The sequence below is a fragment of the Homo sapiens genome, chromosome 7 (genome assembly GCF_000001405.40).
Source record: "Homo sapiens chromosome 7, GRCh38.p14 Primary Assembly".
NCBI lineage: Eukaryota > Metazoa > Chordata > Mammalia > Primates > Hominidae > Homo > Homo sapiens.
In genome coordinates, this window is record NC_000007.14 from 26,566,376 (window position 1) to 26,585,247 (window position 18,872).

Genomic DNA, 18,872 nt, shown 5'->3' on the forward strand with positions numbered 1-18,872 from the left:
AGTTACTATTCGCAGCATACCAAGAACAGTATCTGCAATCAGTAACTGCCATGCAAGTATTTGTTAATAAAGGGTAAGTATTGTCTTGTGACACTTTTATAGAATATACATTAAGTGTACTGAGTTTCAATATAAACTGTATTTCTTATTGTGAGTAAAGGTCAAAAAAAATTTAGGATTTTGGTCTTTCACAGAAATGTGAAGCCCCTGAATGATTTCATCAGAGAGGAGTGGCACCATCAGGTTTACATTCTGAAAAGATGGCTTTGGCTGCAGTATGAAGAATGGGTTGAGGAGCTCATGAGACAACCAGGTGGGAGGCTCTCGCAGAAGATGAGGCAGAGATGATGGTGGCTCATGGGCAGGACTGAGAAATGGCCACAAGGACCCATGGGTGCTGATATTGCATGCAGAGATCTTGAGAGCTGTTTTGTGCATTCTGTGGCTGGGTCTTTGATCAGTGGAGAAAATTTTGTGATGGCATCTGAATCCACCTGGAACATCAGTGCCTGTATTGGTCACAGTTTTTCTGGTGGCAAATAACAAAATCCTTCTCTAGGTATCTTGAGTGCATCCCCTGTACCTCAGTTATAGTGGCTTTAGCTTCATTAATTCATTCACCTATCCATCTATCTATTCAGCTACTAATCACATTGTTCACTCCCCTCTGTGCCAGTTACTGCACCGGACACTGGGGATACAACCATGAAAAATCCAGGCACAGAGCCCACCTTTACGGGGGGTAAGAATCAAGTGGAGATAAGGAAATGGGTGACTTCCAACACAATGACAAGCCCAGGCAGGGTGGGATGGCAGCCCACTGTACAACTGTCTACTCAAGTTTGGGAGGCTGGTCAAGGAAGGCTTCCAAGAGGAGGTAATAATATAATAATATCTAGGCTGAGACCTGAGGAGAAGAAAGGGTTCACTAGGAAGGGAGAAGGAGGCCTGAGGAGATTGGCCTGTGCAGTGTGGGGGCTGTGAGAGAAGGATGATCTTTTCCAGCTTTCAAGTGGAAATCAGAATACGGATTCCTACAGGAGGTTCCCCGCCCCCTAACAGTTTGTGACGGTAAGGACAGGCCCCTGAGATGACTCGTCACATTTCCAAAAGTGGGATGGAACCTGCATAAGGCAAGCAGGACAAAGAAACTGCCTATGTCTCAGGGTTCTGGTGGAATTTCATATGCCCTGGGCCAAAGCTCCTTATCTTGTGCTAATCAGAAGTTCCAACTGGCAGTTCCATGTCTTTGATTAATAAAAATAGGGGTGGTAATTAATTACTTAATAAATGCAATTTCCTTTCCTCAATTTCTGTCCTCAAATTCAACTATTTTATTTTATCTTACTGTAAGGTTTGTATACCTGTAAGTGGTCCTAAAAGCCTCAATGGACACAGGCATGACATAAATAAACACATGCATAAAAATTCTTATTCTACGTTACATTTTTTCCAAAACATGGGGGTCACCAGGGGAGCAGTGATCAACAGGCTCTTTACCTTAACAAGGTTGAGAAACTCAGGGCTGACTCTGGGATAAATGCCCAGCTGTGAAGCTTAGTGTTTTTATCAATGGGCCAGAACCTGTGTCATTCCCCCGTGAAGGAAGAGGATATTATAATATGCCTTCATGGAAGAATCCTCCAACATTATCAGGATCGACAAATTCAGAATTTCACACAGAATTTGCAGCATTCTCAGTGACACTGTTTAGATGTTAATTAAATAGGCATAATAAAATTTATCAGTTAAACCATAAAAGAATAAAAAAGATTGTTCAAACTAGCAGAGGGGGAAAAAAATGGAAGGAAGGGGAAAACTAAATCCGAAAAGAGGAAAGACAAAGTATAGAAATGGAACAAATAGAAATGATAAAATAAGATAGAGTAATTTAATGAATCCAAATATATTAATAATCACACTCAATGGAAATGGACTAGGTTTTCTAGTTAAAAGACTAAGGCCATCAGATCTGATTCAAAATAAAAGAGAATTCACTGCAGTAACAGGAAAAAAAACTTCAGCCGAATTATGTTCATAATTAATATCCATAAAATATAAGGATATGGAAACTTCATAGTAAAAGAAAGTAAAAGGATATAACAGATGTATTCAGTGGGACTAGATTTCACTACAAGTGACAGAAAACTCCAAACAACAGAGGCTTAAACAAGATAGAATGTACTTTTTCTCTGTTGTAGGTCAGTGTCCATGGTACTGCCTTGTATCAAGGACCCAGACTCTTTCTATTCTATGACTCTACCTTGGGAGCCCTTGACCTCAAGGTCCAAGATGGCAGCACCTGGACAGTCCAGGATAATGAGGGAAGGAAGGAGGAAGAAGAAGAAATGGCATATCCTGCACTGCCTTTTAAGGAAGGTCCTCAGAAGCTGTTAACCCATGTATTTTCATCTCCCTGACCAGACATTAGTCGTATGGCCACATCTAGCTGCAAAGGAAGCTGAGAAATGTAATCTTTACTCCAGGAGGTCAAGTCTCCAGCTAAAAATTGGAGGGAGGATTCTGTTATCACAGAAGACGCAGAGAACAAATTTTAGGAACAACTTCGTCACACAAGCAAATAACCAAAGAGGGCTGGTATAATAGCAGATGAAGCAGACCTTAGGCAAAAGGCATTACTATAGGTAATGAGCATGAGTACATATTTTTTAAAAAGATTTAATTCACCAGAAGTATGTATATACTTAGTAACAAAGCTTCAAAATATATAAAACAAGAATTGACAGAATACAAGAAGAAACTGAAAAATAGACCACTATCAAGAGAGACATTCAATGGTTGATAAATCAAGCAGAGAAAAAAGTCAGTAAGAATATCAAAGACTTCAGAAACACAAGGTTAATTTAATGAACATATATAAGTACTATCTCCAATAACCATAGAATAGATGTTATTTTAATACACACAGAAAATATTTATGGAAATTGACTACATTATAAATCAAAAGTAAGTATTGACAAATTACAAATATTTGATATGAGTTAAGCCATATTCACTAACTGATAAATGGTGAAATTAAGTTATAAATAAATTATAAAAAGATATTAAGCCATTTGTTTTGAACATTTAAAGAACATGGTCAAAGAAGAAATCCTGATAGAAATGAGAAGATGCTTAAAATGAAAAAAAAAATGGAGGGGAAATGACATTAATTAAAACTTGGTGGATGAAGAACTAATATTTGGAACATATAAAGAACTCTCAAAGCTTGAGTATAAAAAACCAAACAAGTCAACTATAACATGGGCAAAAGATATGAGGAGACATTTCACCAAAAAATTTATGTATATATATGTACAGATGGCAAATAAACACAGGAAAAGATGTTCAACATCATTAGCCACCAGGGAACTGCAAATTAAAACCGCAATGAGATATCACTACAAGCCTAACAGAATGGTTAAAATAAAAAATAATGACAGCCGTATGGTGGCAAGGATGTGGAGAAACTGGATCAGTCACACATTGCTGGTGGGAATGTAGAATGGTAGAGCCACTCTGGAAACTTCTGAAAAAACTAAGCATGTAACTATTAATACCAAACTTGTACATGAATCTTCATTGCAGCTCTATTGGCAATACCCAATATGGAAACAACCAGATGCCCTTCAATGGGTGAACGGTTAAACAAATTATGGTACATTCACACCATGGAATAGTATTCAGCAATAAAAAGGAAAAAATGATTGATACAACAACCTAGACAAATCTTCAGGGAGTTATGGTAAGTGACAAAAGCCAATCTGACAGGTGATATAATGTATGATTCCATTTATATAACATTCTTGGAAAGACAAAATTTTAGAAATAGATTAGATATTGCTAGGAGTTAAGCAGAGGGTGGAAGTAGGAGGAAGAGAGAGTGGCTGTCAAAGGTCAGTGTGAGGGATGCTTGTGGTGATGGAAATGTTCTGTATCTTGGCTGTGTCAATGTCAATATCCCGGCCAAGATACCATACTATAATTTTGTAAGATGCTATCATTTGGGGAAACAGGGTCAAGGGTACAGGGAATCTCTCTGTATTATTTCTTACAACTGCATGTGAACTTGCAATCACCTCAAAATAAAAGATTCAATTAAAAAATCTTATGGGATGCAGTGAAAGTAGTACATTCACAGAGTTAAACATTTATGTTAAAAAGAAAAGGCTTAAAATTGGCAATATAAGAAATTAGGAAAATAATAGCACAATAGGCTCAAATAAAATGGAAGAAAATAGTAAAGAGCAGAAATTAATAAAATCAGAACAACAGAAGTACTGTACAGAAGATTGACCCAGCTAAAAAGTGGTTCTCCGTAAAGATCAATAACATGGGCAAACCCTTGGCAAGACTGATCTTGAAAAAGAGAGAGAAGACTCAAATTAACAATTTTGGGAATGAGAAAAAGGATATGACTTAGTTTGGATGTCGTTCTCTCTAAATCTCGAGTTGAATTGTGATCTTTAGTGTTGGAGGTGAGGCCTAATGGGAGGTGAATGGATCATGAGGGTGAATTTCTCAGGAGTGGTTTAGCACCATCCTTTTGGTACTGTCCTTACAATAGTGAAGTTATCATGAGATCTGGCTGTTTAAAATCGTGTGACATATTTTCCCTTGCTCTCTCTTGCTCTAGTTCTCGCCTGTCATGACTGTAAGTTTCCTGAGGCCTCACCAGAAGCTGAGCAGATGCCAGCACCATGCTCTCTGTACTGCCTGCAGAACTGTGAGCCAATTAAACCTTTTTAAAATAAATTACCCAGTCTCAGATATTTCTTTATGGTAATGCAAAAATGGCCTAACAAAGGATATAACTGTAGGTGTAGTAAACACTAAGAGAAGAGAGGAAGGCAGGAAGAAAGGGGTGGGGGGGAGGAAGGAAAAGAAAGAAGGAAGGAAATCCTTTCAAACTCATTTTGTGATACCAAACGTAGACAAAAACAGATCAAGATCCAAAAATACTGAATAAAATAAAAGTAAACCAAAATTACCAACAAATAAGAGATCAAGTAGGGTTTATCCCAGAAATGCACTGTTGGTTCAATATTAAAAAAATTTATTACTTTAGTTTGCCACATTAAGAGATTAAAGGAGAAAAACCTCATGATCATCTCAATAGGTGAAGAATTCAGTAAAATTCTAAAACCGTTCATCATAAGGACCCTAGAAAAATTATTGCAAGCTAAATGCAATACATGAATGTGTATGAATATTTGTAGGAGCAAAGAACTGGAAGCAACACAGGTGTCCATGAACAGTAGATTGCATGAATAAATTGTTTTATATTTGTACCAAGGAATATGGCCACAGACAACGATGTGGATGAATTTCACAATGTTGGGCAAAAAGAGCATGACAGCAGCACATCTACAGACATATCTTTTAGGGACAGGCAGAAAACTTTAGGTAAAGCAGGGTAGTGATTAACACAAAATACACAACGGCATTTCCTCAGGGCAGTGGGGGAAAAGAATACATGAGGGTGGCCCTCAGGAGGGCTGAGTTGTGGGCAATATTTTATTGAGTGGGTGGTAGGTACCTAGGTGCTCATTTGATTATTATCCTTTAAACCAGCAAAAATTTAATATATACCCTTTTATATGCATGATAACTTTTATCACTAAAAAAAGAAAAACGGTCCGGGCACGGTGGCTCATGCCTGTAATCCCAGCACTTTGGGAGGCTGGAGGCGGGTGGATCACCTGAGGTCAGGAGTTCGAGACCAGCCTGGCCAACATGGTGAAACCCCATCTCTACTAAAAATACAAAAATTAGCCAGGTGTGGTGGCAGGTGCCTGTATACCTAGTTACTCAGGAGGCTGAGGCAGGAGAATCGCTTGAACCTGAGAGGCAGAGGTTGCAGTGAGCCGAGATCACGCCATTGCACTTCAGCCTGGGCCTCAGAGCAAGACTCCATCTCAAAAAAAAGAAAAGAAAAATAAAACTTTTCCTTGGCATTCCCTGCATTCTTATAGCTTCACCAAGTCAATCGTTCACCTTTTCCACCATCAATACTGATTCTTTAGAAACTCAAACCAAAAGAGAAGTGAGTGGAAGAACAAGTGACACTCCTTAGGCTTCTCCCACTTCTCTGGGGTCTCAGCTGTGTGGGCCAGCATTGTTTCCATGGTTCTTTCAATAGGCTTCTTATCAACTTTGTTATGCCTCAGCCTAAAGCAAATCTAGCTTAGCTGAGATTTAATTACCCTTTATACTTTCTATTATAATCTGTGTATGCCATACATGAGCAGCTACTATTCATTCTATCATTTTCTTGGACACTTACTATGTGCCAGGAGCTAGACTAAATATGTCAGTCATTGGCTCATTTTCCTTCTCCCTCCTGAGGTACCTGCCATAATTATCCTCATTTCTCAGATAAGGAAACTGGTCACGTGACTAGGATGTGGAAGAGCTGAGATTTGGATGCAATGCTGTTTGTCCACATGCTGTATTGTCAGAAAATAAAACTGGTGCTTTGAGGAATTTGATTTGGATAAAGCAAAATGGCATTTGAAATAGCATCTGTGCTGAGGAATGCATTTATTGCCCTTGTGTGGGGACAGAATATCTAATATAGTAGGAAAGCCACATTATACCAAGCTTTCACTGAGTGTAGTTGCTGGCTTCAACTGGCCCAGATGTGTGTCTGCATCCGGGGATTGACCCAGATGTGTGTCTGCAGGTACACAGCCTAGTGCTCTGCATCAAGAAGAGCTGCAATTATGTGCTGCTGTATTTCTTTATAATTACCCAAAGGAAGCTCTAGGACTTAAAGACCACAGGCATACTTTCTTTACAATCCTCAGGCCAGCCTAAATCAATTCCAACTATAACTGTCCTTGGGGTTCCAAAAAGACCTCTTATTAAAATGATCCATAATTTTGATTAGTTTCTATTGCTCTCAGCAGAGGCCTGGGCCTGATGGCTGTGATTCACACATATTCTTCCTGAATAGAGGCTGGACTGCTTATGTGTTTGAGGTGGTCCTCAGAGAGGAAGGGGTTGGCCCTCTAGACCCAAGTCAATTTGACTTTGCTCTCATTATTGCTACTCTGGATTGTGTCTGCAGGTAGGCAGCCTGGCCCACTCCCACCCATGTTCCCAAGCTCAGTTCAGAGGAGGCTTACTGCGGGGAGAGGGGCTCTGCGGCTTGGAATCTACCTCACAATAGAAATCGCTATCACCTGAGACCTACTGTACAGTTGAGATGCCCCATATATATCATCTCATTGAATGATGTGTTATTACTAATTTGTATGAAAGAGAAAGAACCTGAGACTCAGAGAAGTGAATCACACTGAACAATGTCACAAAATTAAAAAGGGGCAGAGCTAGGATTTGAACCCTAATCAGCCAGACCCTCTCCTCCTCCTACTGTGCATGGCACCTACATGAGAAGAGTCGTTCTGCTTGGATGAGAGTAACAAATCAATGGACAGAACGTCACACCAGGGTCAGGAGTTAGGTTGTTCTCCCATGCACCCTCTCTCTACAACACGGACTCTGAGGGGTTGATCTCCTTCAAACAGAAGCACATCTCTGACACTGAAGGCAAGGTGATGTTTTTGTCTTTCATTATCACTAGTACAAGAAGAAACAAAAATACTGCTAACAAGTTTGGAGGAAGTTTGTAATCCAAAGTTGATACATGCTAAAAGCGAAAGTGGTTGCTTTAAAACAATGGAATGTTTTCATTTGAAAGTTGATTGAGACATTGGATTCATTTCAATATCTTCATAGTATCATCAGCTTTATAGCTGGACAAATAAATAGATAGACCTATAATATCACCATTCAAATAATTAAAAAGAAATAAAATGATGCCAGATGTTTATTTGGAATAACCCATAGAACACATTGAAAACAATTCCTATCTCTGCAACTGGAAATTTGAATTGATCATTACTGGGCATTAAATGTGCGTATGTTTTCCTGAAGTTCCTAAATCTATTTAATTTCTATGTTGACAGAGATATTAGACAGCTGTTTGAAAATCTGTCTCTCTTTCCTGAGCTATGCACAAGAAATCTTTATGTTAAACCACGAAATGTCAATGAGAGCTCTTCAGTGCACTAATCAGCCTGCGAGTGGAATGTGCGCGCGGGAAGCAATAACCTTAACTTACATTCTCAATAGTCTTGATTGCCCCATGTGCAGCCCCTTAAGACATGGCTGTTGAAGGCAACGTCTCCCAAGTGCTGCTATGCAATGCCAGCCTGGGTGATTAGAGTCAAAGATGATGAGTTTGGAGGCGTGCTCTCCATAAATGGCTTCAGCAGTGACTCACTGCATGCCCCAGGGGAACATTCCTGAATCTTCTGCCTCTATTACCTCATTGCCCATCTCAACCCCATCCACTCCCTCCAAATGGGACTGAATGCCTCCATCTTTGAAGAGCCTATGGCAAACTGCCATGGGAATCAGGTGCAAGAAAAAAAAGGAAACCAACCTCAATCTTTTGGAGTCTTTTGAGGGGAGCCTGGTGAACTTAATCGACATCACCTACCATCATTTAGCATCTTCGGAAACAGTTCCACAGCCCAAAGCAGGGAAAAAGCCAACTTTTATATACAAGGTCTTCTTTGTAGTGTGATTTATAAAAACGGGAGGAAAAGGATTAAGTCTAGGTATCTTAGAATAGGGAAATGGCTACATAAATTATGCTAAACATCAATCTATAACATACCTGTTAAAAATAAAGTTCACCAGAATCAGAAGTGCAAAAAAAGCAAAAGCTCCTTATACATCCCCTACTTTGGTGATCTTCCATGGTCAAAGTGTGGCTTCTTTCTTCCTTCCTTCCTTCCTTCCTCTCTCTCTCTCTTTCTTTCTTTCTTCTTTCTTTCTTGCTTTTTCTTTCATTCTTTCCTTCTTTCTCTCCTTCTTTCCTTTCTTTCTTTCTCTTTCTTTCTTCTTTCTTCTTTTTTTTTTTTTTGAGATGGAGTTTCCCTCTTGTTGCTCAGGCTGCCGTGCAATGACATGATCTCAGCTCACTGCAACCTCTGCCTCCCAGGTTCAAGTGATTCTCCTGTCTCAGCCTCCCAAGTAGCTGGGATTACAGGTGCATGCCACCATGCCCAGCTAATTTTTGTATTTTTAGTAGATATGGGGTTTCTTCATATTGGTCAGGCTGGTCTCGAACTCCTGACCTCAGGTGATCCGCCTGCCTCGGCCTGGTCTTTTTCTCTTAAGATCAGAAACCTGGCTGTGGGCATACTGAGATGGGGATCTGTTTCTCAGGAATGGACACACATTAACCAAGGTTGTGAGATGGATACCTTGAAGCAGAATTCGACGTGTCATTTTATATCCAGAAATCTGTTTCAAGCTCTGGAATACTTAGACTGGCATAATCAGCACATTCTTTCCCTAGAAATAAACTATATGGGATGCAACCTCCTATTGAACACATCCATTTACCTGCTACTATTCATTGGGTCTTGTGTACCAGGTACTGCACTAAGCAATTATCTATATCTCATTTAATGAGATCACATTTGCAAAGCATTTAGTACATGTCCAACCCATAGTAAGTACTCCATATTTGTTAACTGACATTATTACTCCTCCTACTTATCCTCCTCATCTCATTGTGGTTTCTAAATGACATTATCCCTTCTCTGCAAATGAGAAAAATAAGACAGAGCAGTTCAGTTACTGCCCAAGCAAGTCAGGAAGTGGCAGATTCACAAGGAGAAATACAATCGTCAGAGGAACTGGAAAACTCAGTGCACATCACCAAAGTCTTCTCCTGCTTGGTAGGCCCCTGGGGAAGCATAATCAGAAGGCTGCTTCTTAAGTGTGGAGTCTCAGCAAAGGGAGTGCGAGGAATTGAGCATTGAACAGCATCAGGCCCAAGCAATTTGATATGCTCATCTCCTATTAGGATGATCTTGAATTTGAGACCCATTGTCCAAGACTCCCTATCCCCAGAATAAGAAAGAGAAGCTAATACTTACTGGGAACTTGTATGACAAATCCACATTTAATCTTCAGTACAACATAATGAGGTAGGTAGTGACCTCCCCTCCAAGCCATTTTAAAGATAAGGAAAGGCACGATAAGGTTAAGGATCATTCCCCAAGATTCTGCAGTGAAATGAGCTACAGAGGCTGGATTCAAATGCTGGACAGTTCAACTCCAAAGCCCTGTCCACCTTGAAGCTCCAAGGCCTCTCCTGGGAAGGAAGAGCAGCCCCAGGGAGCAGCCAGCAGCACTGGCTCTCTGTTCTCCAGGCTTCTCTCCTCGTGACCACGTACCCTCTTGAGACAGAGTAGCCCAGTCTGTCAAATTATAGCTGCATTGGCTGAGAGCCATTTTATCTCTCAGCGACTCCACATCTCCTGGCTCCAACCTATTCCATATATATTGTATGTATGTATGTATGTATGTATGTATGTATGTATGTGATCCATTATGTTTGATTGTAAAGTTTTACTCTTAGGGTGAGCCTATTTTCATAATCTATAAGTTCTTGGATAAATTGCCTCATTGTAATTCTCTAATACTGAAATGGCAGCCAGTTATTATCCTTTAGTTTTAGTAACTCAGGGAATGCTTGTGATACAATGTAGAATAAAACAAAGCAGGATCTAAAATTGTGTATACAGCAGGACCGTAGTTATGTTTAATAATAAGATGGTTAGAGAATCACCAAAATGTTTACAGTGGGTCACTTTGGTGATAGAACAATGCATGCTTTTTTCTTCCTGATTTTCTACAATTGGTGGCTAACTAATGGTGTTTATTTTATGCCAGGCACTGTGTTCTTGCTTTGCATGGTCTCATTTAATCCTCCCAACACACAGAGGTATCACTACTGCCATTTTGCAGATGAGGAAACTGACAGACAAACTAAGTACCTTGCCCAAGGTGGCCTGTGACTAAATGACAGAGAAGGAATCCTAAGTTTGTCTTAGTACAAATTATGTTGTATTACTTGCTAGGGTTGTCGTAACAAAATATCACAAAGTGGGTGGTTTAAACAACAGGAATTTATTTTCTCAGAGTTCTGGAGGCTGGAAGTCCAGTATCCAAGTGCTGGCAGTGTTGGTTTCCTCTAAAAGCTCTCTTCCGGACTTGCAGATGGCTGCACATGGTGGCCCCTTGATCTGTGGACATGTCTGGTTCTCTCTGTGTGTGTCCAAATTTTCTCTTCTCATAAGAACACCATTCATAATGCATTAGGGCCCACCCTAAAGATCCCCATTTTAACTTGCTTACCTCTTTCAAGACCTTATATCCAAACGCAGACACCATGACATACTGGGGGTTAGGACTTCAACAGATGAATTTTGAGCAGGGGTGGTGGGGGTGGAGACATAATGTAGCCAATTACATTTATCTATCTTCTTAATCAGTAAATAATTCTGCTACCCATAAAGAATTTGTTTTATAACTTTTAAAAATTTTATTTTCAAGCCATGCAGAGTCACGTTGGAAAAACCTTTCTTGTTCCAGCTGAAGGATGACATCTCAGTGTGGGCTGCTTTGTTTGTTCACTAATTTAGAAATAACATCCTGATTGGCAAAGGGAAAATGATTAACTGGAATTCAAGGAACTTCAAAATGGCTCACCTAACCCTCTTTGAGCATTTAATAAGATTTATTTTGCTATCCAGCCAGAGTTTTAATCAAATGGCAAATTTATTCAAATCAAGGCAGTATGAAGAATATTAGAAGGATAAACTCCTTTAAGAAACTAAAAATTCAGTTGAGGAGACAAAAGCATAGGTATATAAAACACTAATAGCAGTGCATGACAGTGATACAAGAAATACCACAAGCAGAAGGGAATCACAGAAAGCGGAAGCCAGAAAGTAGATGTTGTGAGTTCAGACAAAAGTCTGAGAGGGGTGATCAAAGAAGGCTTCCTGAAGGAGGAAGAACTTACTGTGTTGATCAGCTAGGGAGTCTTTTCTCCCTACCTCACAGGGTACTAAGAGGTTCAAGACATGTTCAATGATGTCATGTGTCTAGGAGGAGCTGGTGAGATGAATGAGAACTCAGGGAGGGATGGAGTGGGTAAGTGCTGCCAAAATCTGCTGGTGTGTGGGGGCGGTGCGGGGAAGAAAGTTTCCAGAATAACTATAGTGACCAGAATGAATCTGGATGAATTTGGAGATGGGTTTGGGTCAGAGGTACCAGTGGCACGTGGAGCAAGTCAGCTGGAAGGAGAAGCTGGACAGGGCTCAAGTTTCTGATGTTGATGGAGGAAGACTCACAAGGGATCTGAGGGCAAACGGAAAACTGGGCCTGGCTGCCTGCTTTCATCTTCCAGATGAGCAACAAGAGAAGAGAAGAGAAGAGGAGAAGAAGAAGAGAAGAGAAGAGAAGAGAAGAGAAGAGAAGAGAAGAGAAGAGAGGAGAGGAGGAGAGGAGAGGAGAGGAGAAGAGAAGAGAAGAGAAGAGAAGAGAAGAGAAGAGAAGAGAAGAGAAGAGAAGAGAAGAGAAAAGAACCCCCAGATCTTCTGCAAAAGGCAGAGGAAAATAATAGGGACAATATACGTGAGAATGCTCCTCACCTGTGACAAGACCTTGCACCTGGCCTGCCAGCCCTCTAGTTAGCCAGCCCTCTAGTTAGCCAGCCCTCTAGTTAGCTACCAGTGGAATCAAGCCGAGGGTCAACATTTGCAGCCGTTTGGCCCAGGAGCTTCATCAGCAGATAAATTGGATTTATTCTGGAGGCCATAAATTTTTTTAAAAAGTGTTGGGAATATTGGAAGAACTTTATCATGATTCCACTTAGTGGACCAAGGTCAAGTACTCAACTCAGTCTCTTCAAGAAGGAAGTAGCAGACATAGGGCACCCATGACAGAAAGGGAGGCAGATGGTGACGTGTGGCCAGGAGCTAGCTGGGGCGCAATAGTCAATGTGCTCTGGAGCCAGGCTGCCTGGGTTCAAACCCCTGTCCACCACTGACAAGCTGTGTGACTTTGAGCAAGTTACTCTATCTCTCTGTGCCTTGGTTTCCTCATCTGTAAAATGGAGCTGGTAACTGAACCCATCTCACAGGGTTGTTGCAAGGATTCATTGAGATAACACATGTCTGATATTTAGGTAACACTCAAGAAATGTTTGCAGTGATATGAGTGTCAGTGGGAGGCTGCCTGGAAATGTAAGCAGCTGTGTGGGGGGAGTTACAGCAGAGGCAATGGGAGCATGGGAGAGCTTAGGGGAAATCAGAGATGACGGATCCTAAGCTCATGCCCAGACATTGCAAGCATGCTTAAAAACAACAAATGACCTCTTGATGCAATGCCTAACAGGAAACATGTTCTAGGTGTTGAGGAAGTGGATTTGGCAGAGACTATATTTAACCTTAGTACGAGGCACACCAGTGCACACCTGGGAGATGGTTCTGTCACCAGGACAAGGAGGTGACCCAGGCCTGGCAGCATCCTTGGCCTGCGGGGAGGCTCCCCCAAGGGTTCTCCTCTGTTCCAGGGAAGGTGGCTGGAGGAGTGACTGAAGTTAAAGGTCGAAGGCTGAGGATGATCTAGAAAAGTCGTAGTTGCAGGGAGGCTGAGAAATGGGTGACGGGCCAGGCACCCCACCAGAGAGAGCGAGAGAGCACTGAGGTGACGTTGGTGTGGCTGGGAGAGATGGTGCGGGCCTCCGTAGAAGCAGCAACTTCCTGACATCCATGACAAGGAAGAGGACGCAAGGATCCAGAGCTTTCAGACACAAGGGTCACGGGAGAAGGGCTGAGGATGATGAGGGAATGCATGGCTGCCGAGGTCTCTCCTCTCCCTTTCCTTTTCTCTGTGATGCTTCCTGCTGCCTCCTCTCTCAGGGTCATGTGGCTTCTTTCTTAGCCATTTGTCATCTCTACCCCTCTGATATCATCAGCTCACACAAGCCCCAAAAGTGACCTTCTATTTCTGCCCTTCAGTTTCTGTCATCCCTACTACCCCATTGATTCTCTCTGTGTTTCTTGGTTCAAATTTCCATAAGAAATCTCATTGGCTGGTTCATCTTTTCCAGACTAGGTCTCGCTATAAAGCATGAGTCAGCTTCAGGCTACACTTGGATCTGGTGATGACCCTGGACCCACTCAGCTGTGACCAGCAACACAGAAGGCCCCGGGACCCACCAGCAAACAGCCAACCCTTATAAGCTTCAGGGGCTGGGGTGGGATAGTTGCCCTCAGATGGAGGACTTAGGGGACATCATCACCAACACATACAATCACAAAAATATGAGTAAAACCCACTGTCATCAAGGCCATGGAATACAGAAAGTGGAAAATGAAGCTTATGAGAGTGAGAAAAGAAAAATAAATGGAAGGCATTTCAATGAGAGAACTGCGTTGAAAAAGTGAGACCTGTATTCCACATGAAAGAAGCTTTTATAAGGCTTTTCCCTTGGTCCATAGAGGGAGACAGGAAATTAAACACCCAGTGTGAATGTGTGGGAAGGGATCAGACGCAACTTCGCTCCTTTATTGAATACATGCTAATTAAAAGTCTACTGCAGATGACGCATACAGTGATTGAAGTTCACAAGTGCAAGTGCCAAACATGTGAATGTTTGTGCTTCTTAACCAAATACAAAGGGACATAGCTATTTCAGAAATTGGCACTTTTTGTGGGTGTAGTCATGTACACAAAAATTTCAGGAGCATGGAAAAAGAAACTGGAGGAAAAATAATGAAAAGGGCCAAGTATTTCAATGAGCCAAGTCTTTAAACTCCATCTGTAAGAATAAAGAGCGTATCTACCAACAACAGATGTTGGGCAAGTAAGTTCAACAGAACTTATGTGCAAAAAGGCACAACAATATTGGCTCAATTTTGTTAAAACAAGAAAAATATTAAATGTATAAGACATGAGGCTTGTGAGTGAAAGAACTGGTCTTCCTCCACACTTTCGGTGATCTTTCCTCTAGTCCAGAGAGTAGAAATTCTGAAGCTCCTGAACGGGTAAAAGAACCAGGACAACTATCCAAATGGGCCATAATGTCATTGAAAAGAGGAGGAGAAAGAGGATCAAAGTCACATAGAACATCCAGCATATATACTGCGCCAACAGAGCTGTTGCCTATTTGCACTGTGTGTGTGAATGTGTGTATCTGCGTCTGTGTGTGTGAGCATTAGGATGTGTGTCTCTCTGTATGTCTGTGTCCCACACTGGATTAGTGGATAGACCAGGCAGCTAGAAACCTAGGACACCAGCTCTTACAAAGTTTAGAAACCGCTGGGATGCTGAAACATTGCGGGGAATACACTGAGATGCAAAAAATGATTCTTCTCAAGGAGAACATCAAAGGTGGAGGAAAAACCAATTTTGCTGAGATAACAAAAGATGGTGCTGAACAGTCTCCTAGAGAGGATGGTGAGGCAGCTGTGGGCCTGATTCAGTGGAATGACTTTGGATGGGAATTCAAAGTCTGAGCAGAATTTCTCAGAACAACAGTGGAGACACAAAGTCTGCCACCAAGCAATCCTCCCTCACTCTCCTGGAACCACGTGGTGCTCAATATCTCCTCTAAAGTTGTAAGTGGAGGTGTAAATATTTAAAGAATAACCTTTGTTAGGCTTCTTACAGGATCACTGTGCACATATGTGTGCATCTTGCCACAGTGACCCAATGCTTGGGAAGCCCATGGCTGTGGCAAGGGGACACTTCAGGTTTATGTCTGTGCCCAGCTGGACTTCCTCCATTTTGCTCTGGGTACCTCAAAGTGGGTAATTAGCAAACAAGAACAAACAGAACTTCTACATGATATTGACGTCTAAGAATCTGGCTTTTGCTGAAGACTGGATAGAGTTCCATCATGGGGATTGCTTTCATTGTCTTTGAAAGGGGTGCAACAGGTCAGGGACTATAAGAGAATAATGATGTATTCAGCAAATGGCCCAATGCAGCAGCTTTTCATTGATGTGTTGGAGGGTCCTACAGTTCCTCCTAGAGAGAGCAAGGGAAGGGTCCTAGAGATGGGGCCCCAGACACGCACCTTCTCTCAATCCCAGCTGGAACAGTGTAACTTTTTATTGGCAAAAGAGTGTTCCAGAGGACCAGTGTCTACAGGACATCTGGTGGGCACTTGCACCAATGTGGGAATTGCACTGAGGTACCAGCTTTGGAATTAAGCAGCAGTTGTATTATGTTTTAGAAAGAGAATGAACTCTTAAATCTGATGGATTCAGTTGATTTCTTGCTCTATCCCAGCTGTGTAACATGGGCCAATAACCTTTGAGGTTCTTCTACAAAAATGGGATCTCAGTGTATAGGGGACATTGTGAAGATTAAATGAGATAAGTGTAGGAGCTCAGTAAAAGCAAAATGATGTATATTGTGGAAGCTCAGTTAATACAAGTTCCCTTCATTCTGTCACTTCCTTCTGGATATGAAGCTTCCAATTACTTGCCCTACCTTTAGAATGAATTAAAGCTGGTTCTTTTGTACCCCATAAAAGAGCCCTTCTCTACCTTTTACTAGTGCCATGATTGTGGGCAAATCACCTCATGTCATCAGTAAAATGAGGATACTAGCTCTATCCTGAATAACTCATGAGATTGTCGTATAAAATAAATAAATAGATGTATGTGAAAATACTTCATCAATGGTAATGCCACAACACATATGTAATGCCAAAAAAAATTCTCCATTAATAAGATGTCCTTTCAACAAATGTCCATTTTTCCTTATAAAATGTCAGAGATGTTTAAGCAAACTCCCAAGGTTATTTAATTATTGGATAATAATATACACTGGTGATGGAAATTAATTACACAGGTACTGTGAAATACCCTGCTTTGCTACTGACAACACCCAGCAATACAGAGCACATGGCTGAGTCCATAGAAAACTGTGGTAATTGTGACAGCAGTAACAGCAGAAGAGCCACAAAGCCTCCTCCACGTAGGTCTGTCATTAGCTGATGTCACCAAGGGGCCATAAACAGAAGCTCCTCTATATCACATGGGCCATGAGATAGCAAGGTAAATAGAGGGCAGTTGTTTAATTTATCTATTGTAACAGAGTTGAGTGCATGGCAAATAGGTTTGTAAGTGCATTTATTACCATCTCCATATAGTATGGTTTCCACCAAGAGTGAGTGAGCTCAGAGCCTGCTCACTGTGGCTGTGCCTCATTTGATGCAATCCAAGGGCCATGATCAGGGAGTCTCCCGAGTGCCTTCCCCAGTGGCAGTGAGTGGCTTGGGGAGGCATGGGGTTGGAAACACATTCTGTTATCTGACTTTGGGCCGAAGTCCATCATATCTTGTCTCCGAGAAAAATTTCAGTTCCTAAGAGGGTCTAGCTTAGTCTCCTTTGACATTTAAAACAAAGCTTAAGGATGAAAGCAAAATATTCCCACAGCTGGTGATTGTTATACAGAGACCAGAAACCTATAGTTTCCAGGAGCCCTCCCTGCCTGATTCTGCAGACCTAGTCTGGACGCCTCTCATTCTCCTTAGCCGTCCTGCTTTGCAGTGCTCACGAATAAGCAGGCCACTTCCATCCCCGGGTTGATGGGGATACCTCCTCAATATTAAAATCCCAGGACTAGCCACACAGGGCAGATAAACAAAATGTGGTATATACACACCATGGAATATTATTCAGCCTTAGAAAGGAAAGACATTCTGATACATGCTACAACATGGGTGAACCCTGAGGACATTATGCTAAGTGAAATAAGCTAGTTACAAAGGGACAAGTACTGTATAATTCCACTTATATGAGGTGCCTAGGATAGGCAAATTCATACAGCCAGAAGGTAGAATAGAAATTACTAGGGGCTGGGAGAAGAGGGGGAAATGGCGAGTCTTTGCTTTCATGGGTACAGAGTTTCAGTCTGTGATGAAGTTCTGGAGCTGGATGGTGGTGCTGGTTGCACGACAATGTGAATGCATTTCATGCCACTGAATTGTATACTTAGAAATGGTTAAAACGGTCAATTTTGTGTTGCATATATTTTGCCGCAACAAAAAATGTAGTTCTAGACCTAAAAAAAAAAAAAAAAAAAAAGATCAATGCTGAAATTAAAAACCAGAGGAGCTTCCACATGCCACAAGGAGCTTGCTCTGATGAGTCTGGTGGACAGACTTCTCATTGCTATATTGTTTTGTGATGCTTCCATTTGTATCTCCTTTCCAACATGTGACATTTGTCACAACTCCAAAAGATGTGAGAAAGTTGGGACGAGGCCAGAATAAATGTTTTTGGATGGGTTGTGCTTTTGTGTTTGGCCATGTGAAAGCGTTTTTGTGGAGGTTGACTCTTCCAGTATTTTAAGCAATTTACAGATAGTGTTAAATACCTGGTTAAAATCTTTCTAATGTGTCTGGTAATCATTTTAGCTGTTCAAGCATAATGTGAATTCAGACATACAGTTACACGAAAATCTTTCCCACTTACCTACCTCTCGCGCAGATTACAGAGGGAATGCATTACAGACAATAAAACCTAAGGGGAAAAAATTGCCACGCTGCCTGCTTCAGTTCTGCCATTAAACCCAACGATGGCGGCCATTGCCATGTAAAAGGAAAAACAACAAGTTTACAGTTCATCATTTCCCATGGTAAACAGATTGCTTATTTTAATTTTGAAAATAAAGCGATGGAGGCTATGTAGGTCTGTAAATAAGAGTGTGCATCTCAATTTTCTGCAAATGCTTAAGTGGTTTACATCTGTTTCCTCCCAGTTGTATTTCTCAAACATGAATTTCCATTTTAAAAAGAGTCGTAAAATCACTACTGTTTCTCTGTGGATCTATTAGCAATAAAATAGCCTACAGAGGTTTGCACAGCCATGGAAAATGTACGGTGATAATAGGCTGTCCTGCTGTTACATGGCTTATGCAAACTTTACATTTATCACGGCAGAACCATCTATCCGCAGGGTTGTAGCACAGCAAAC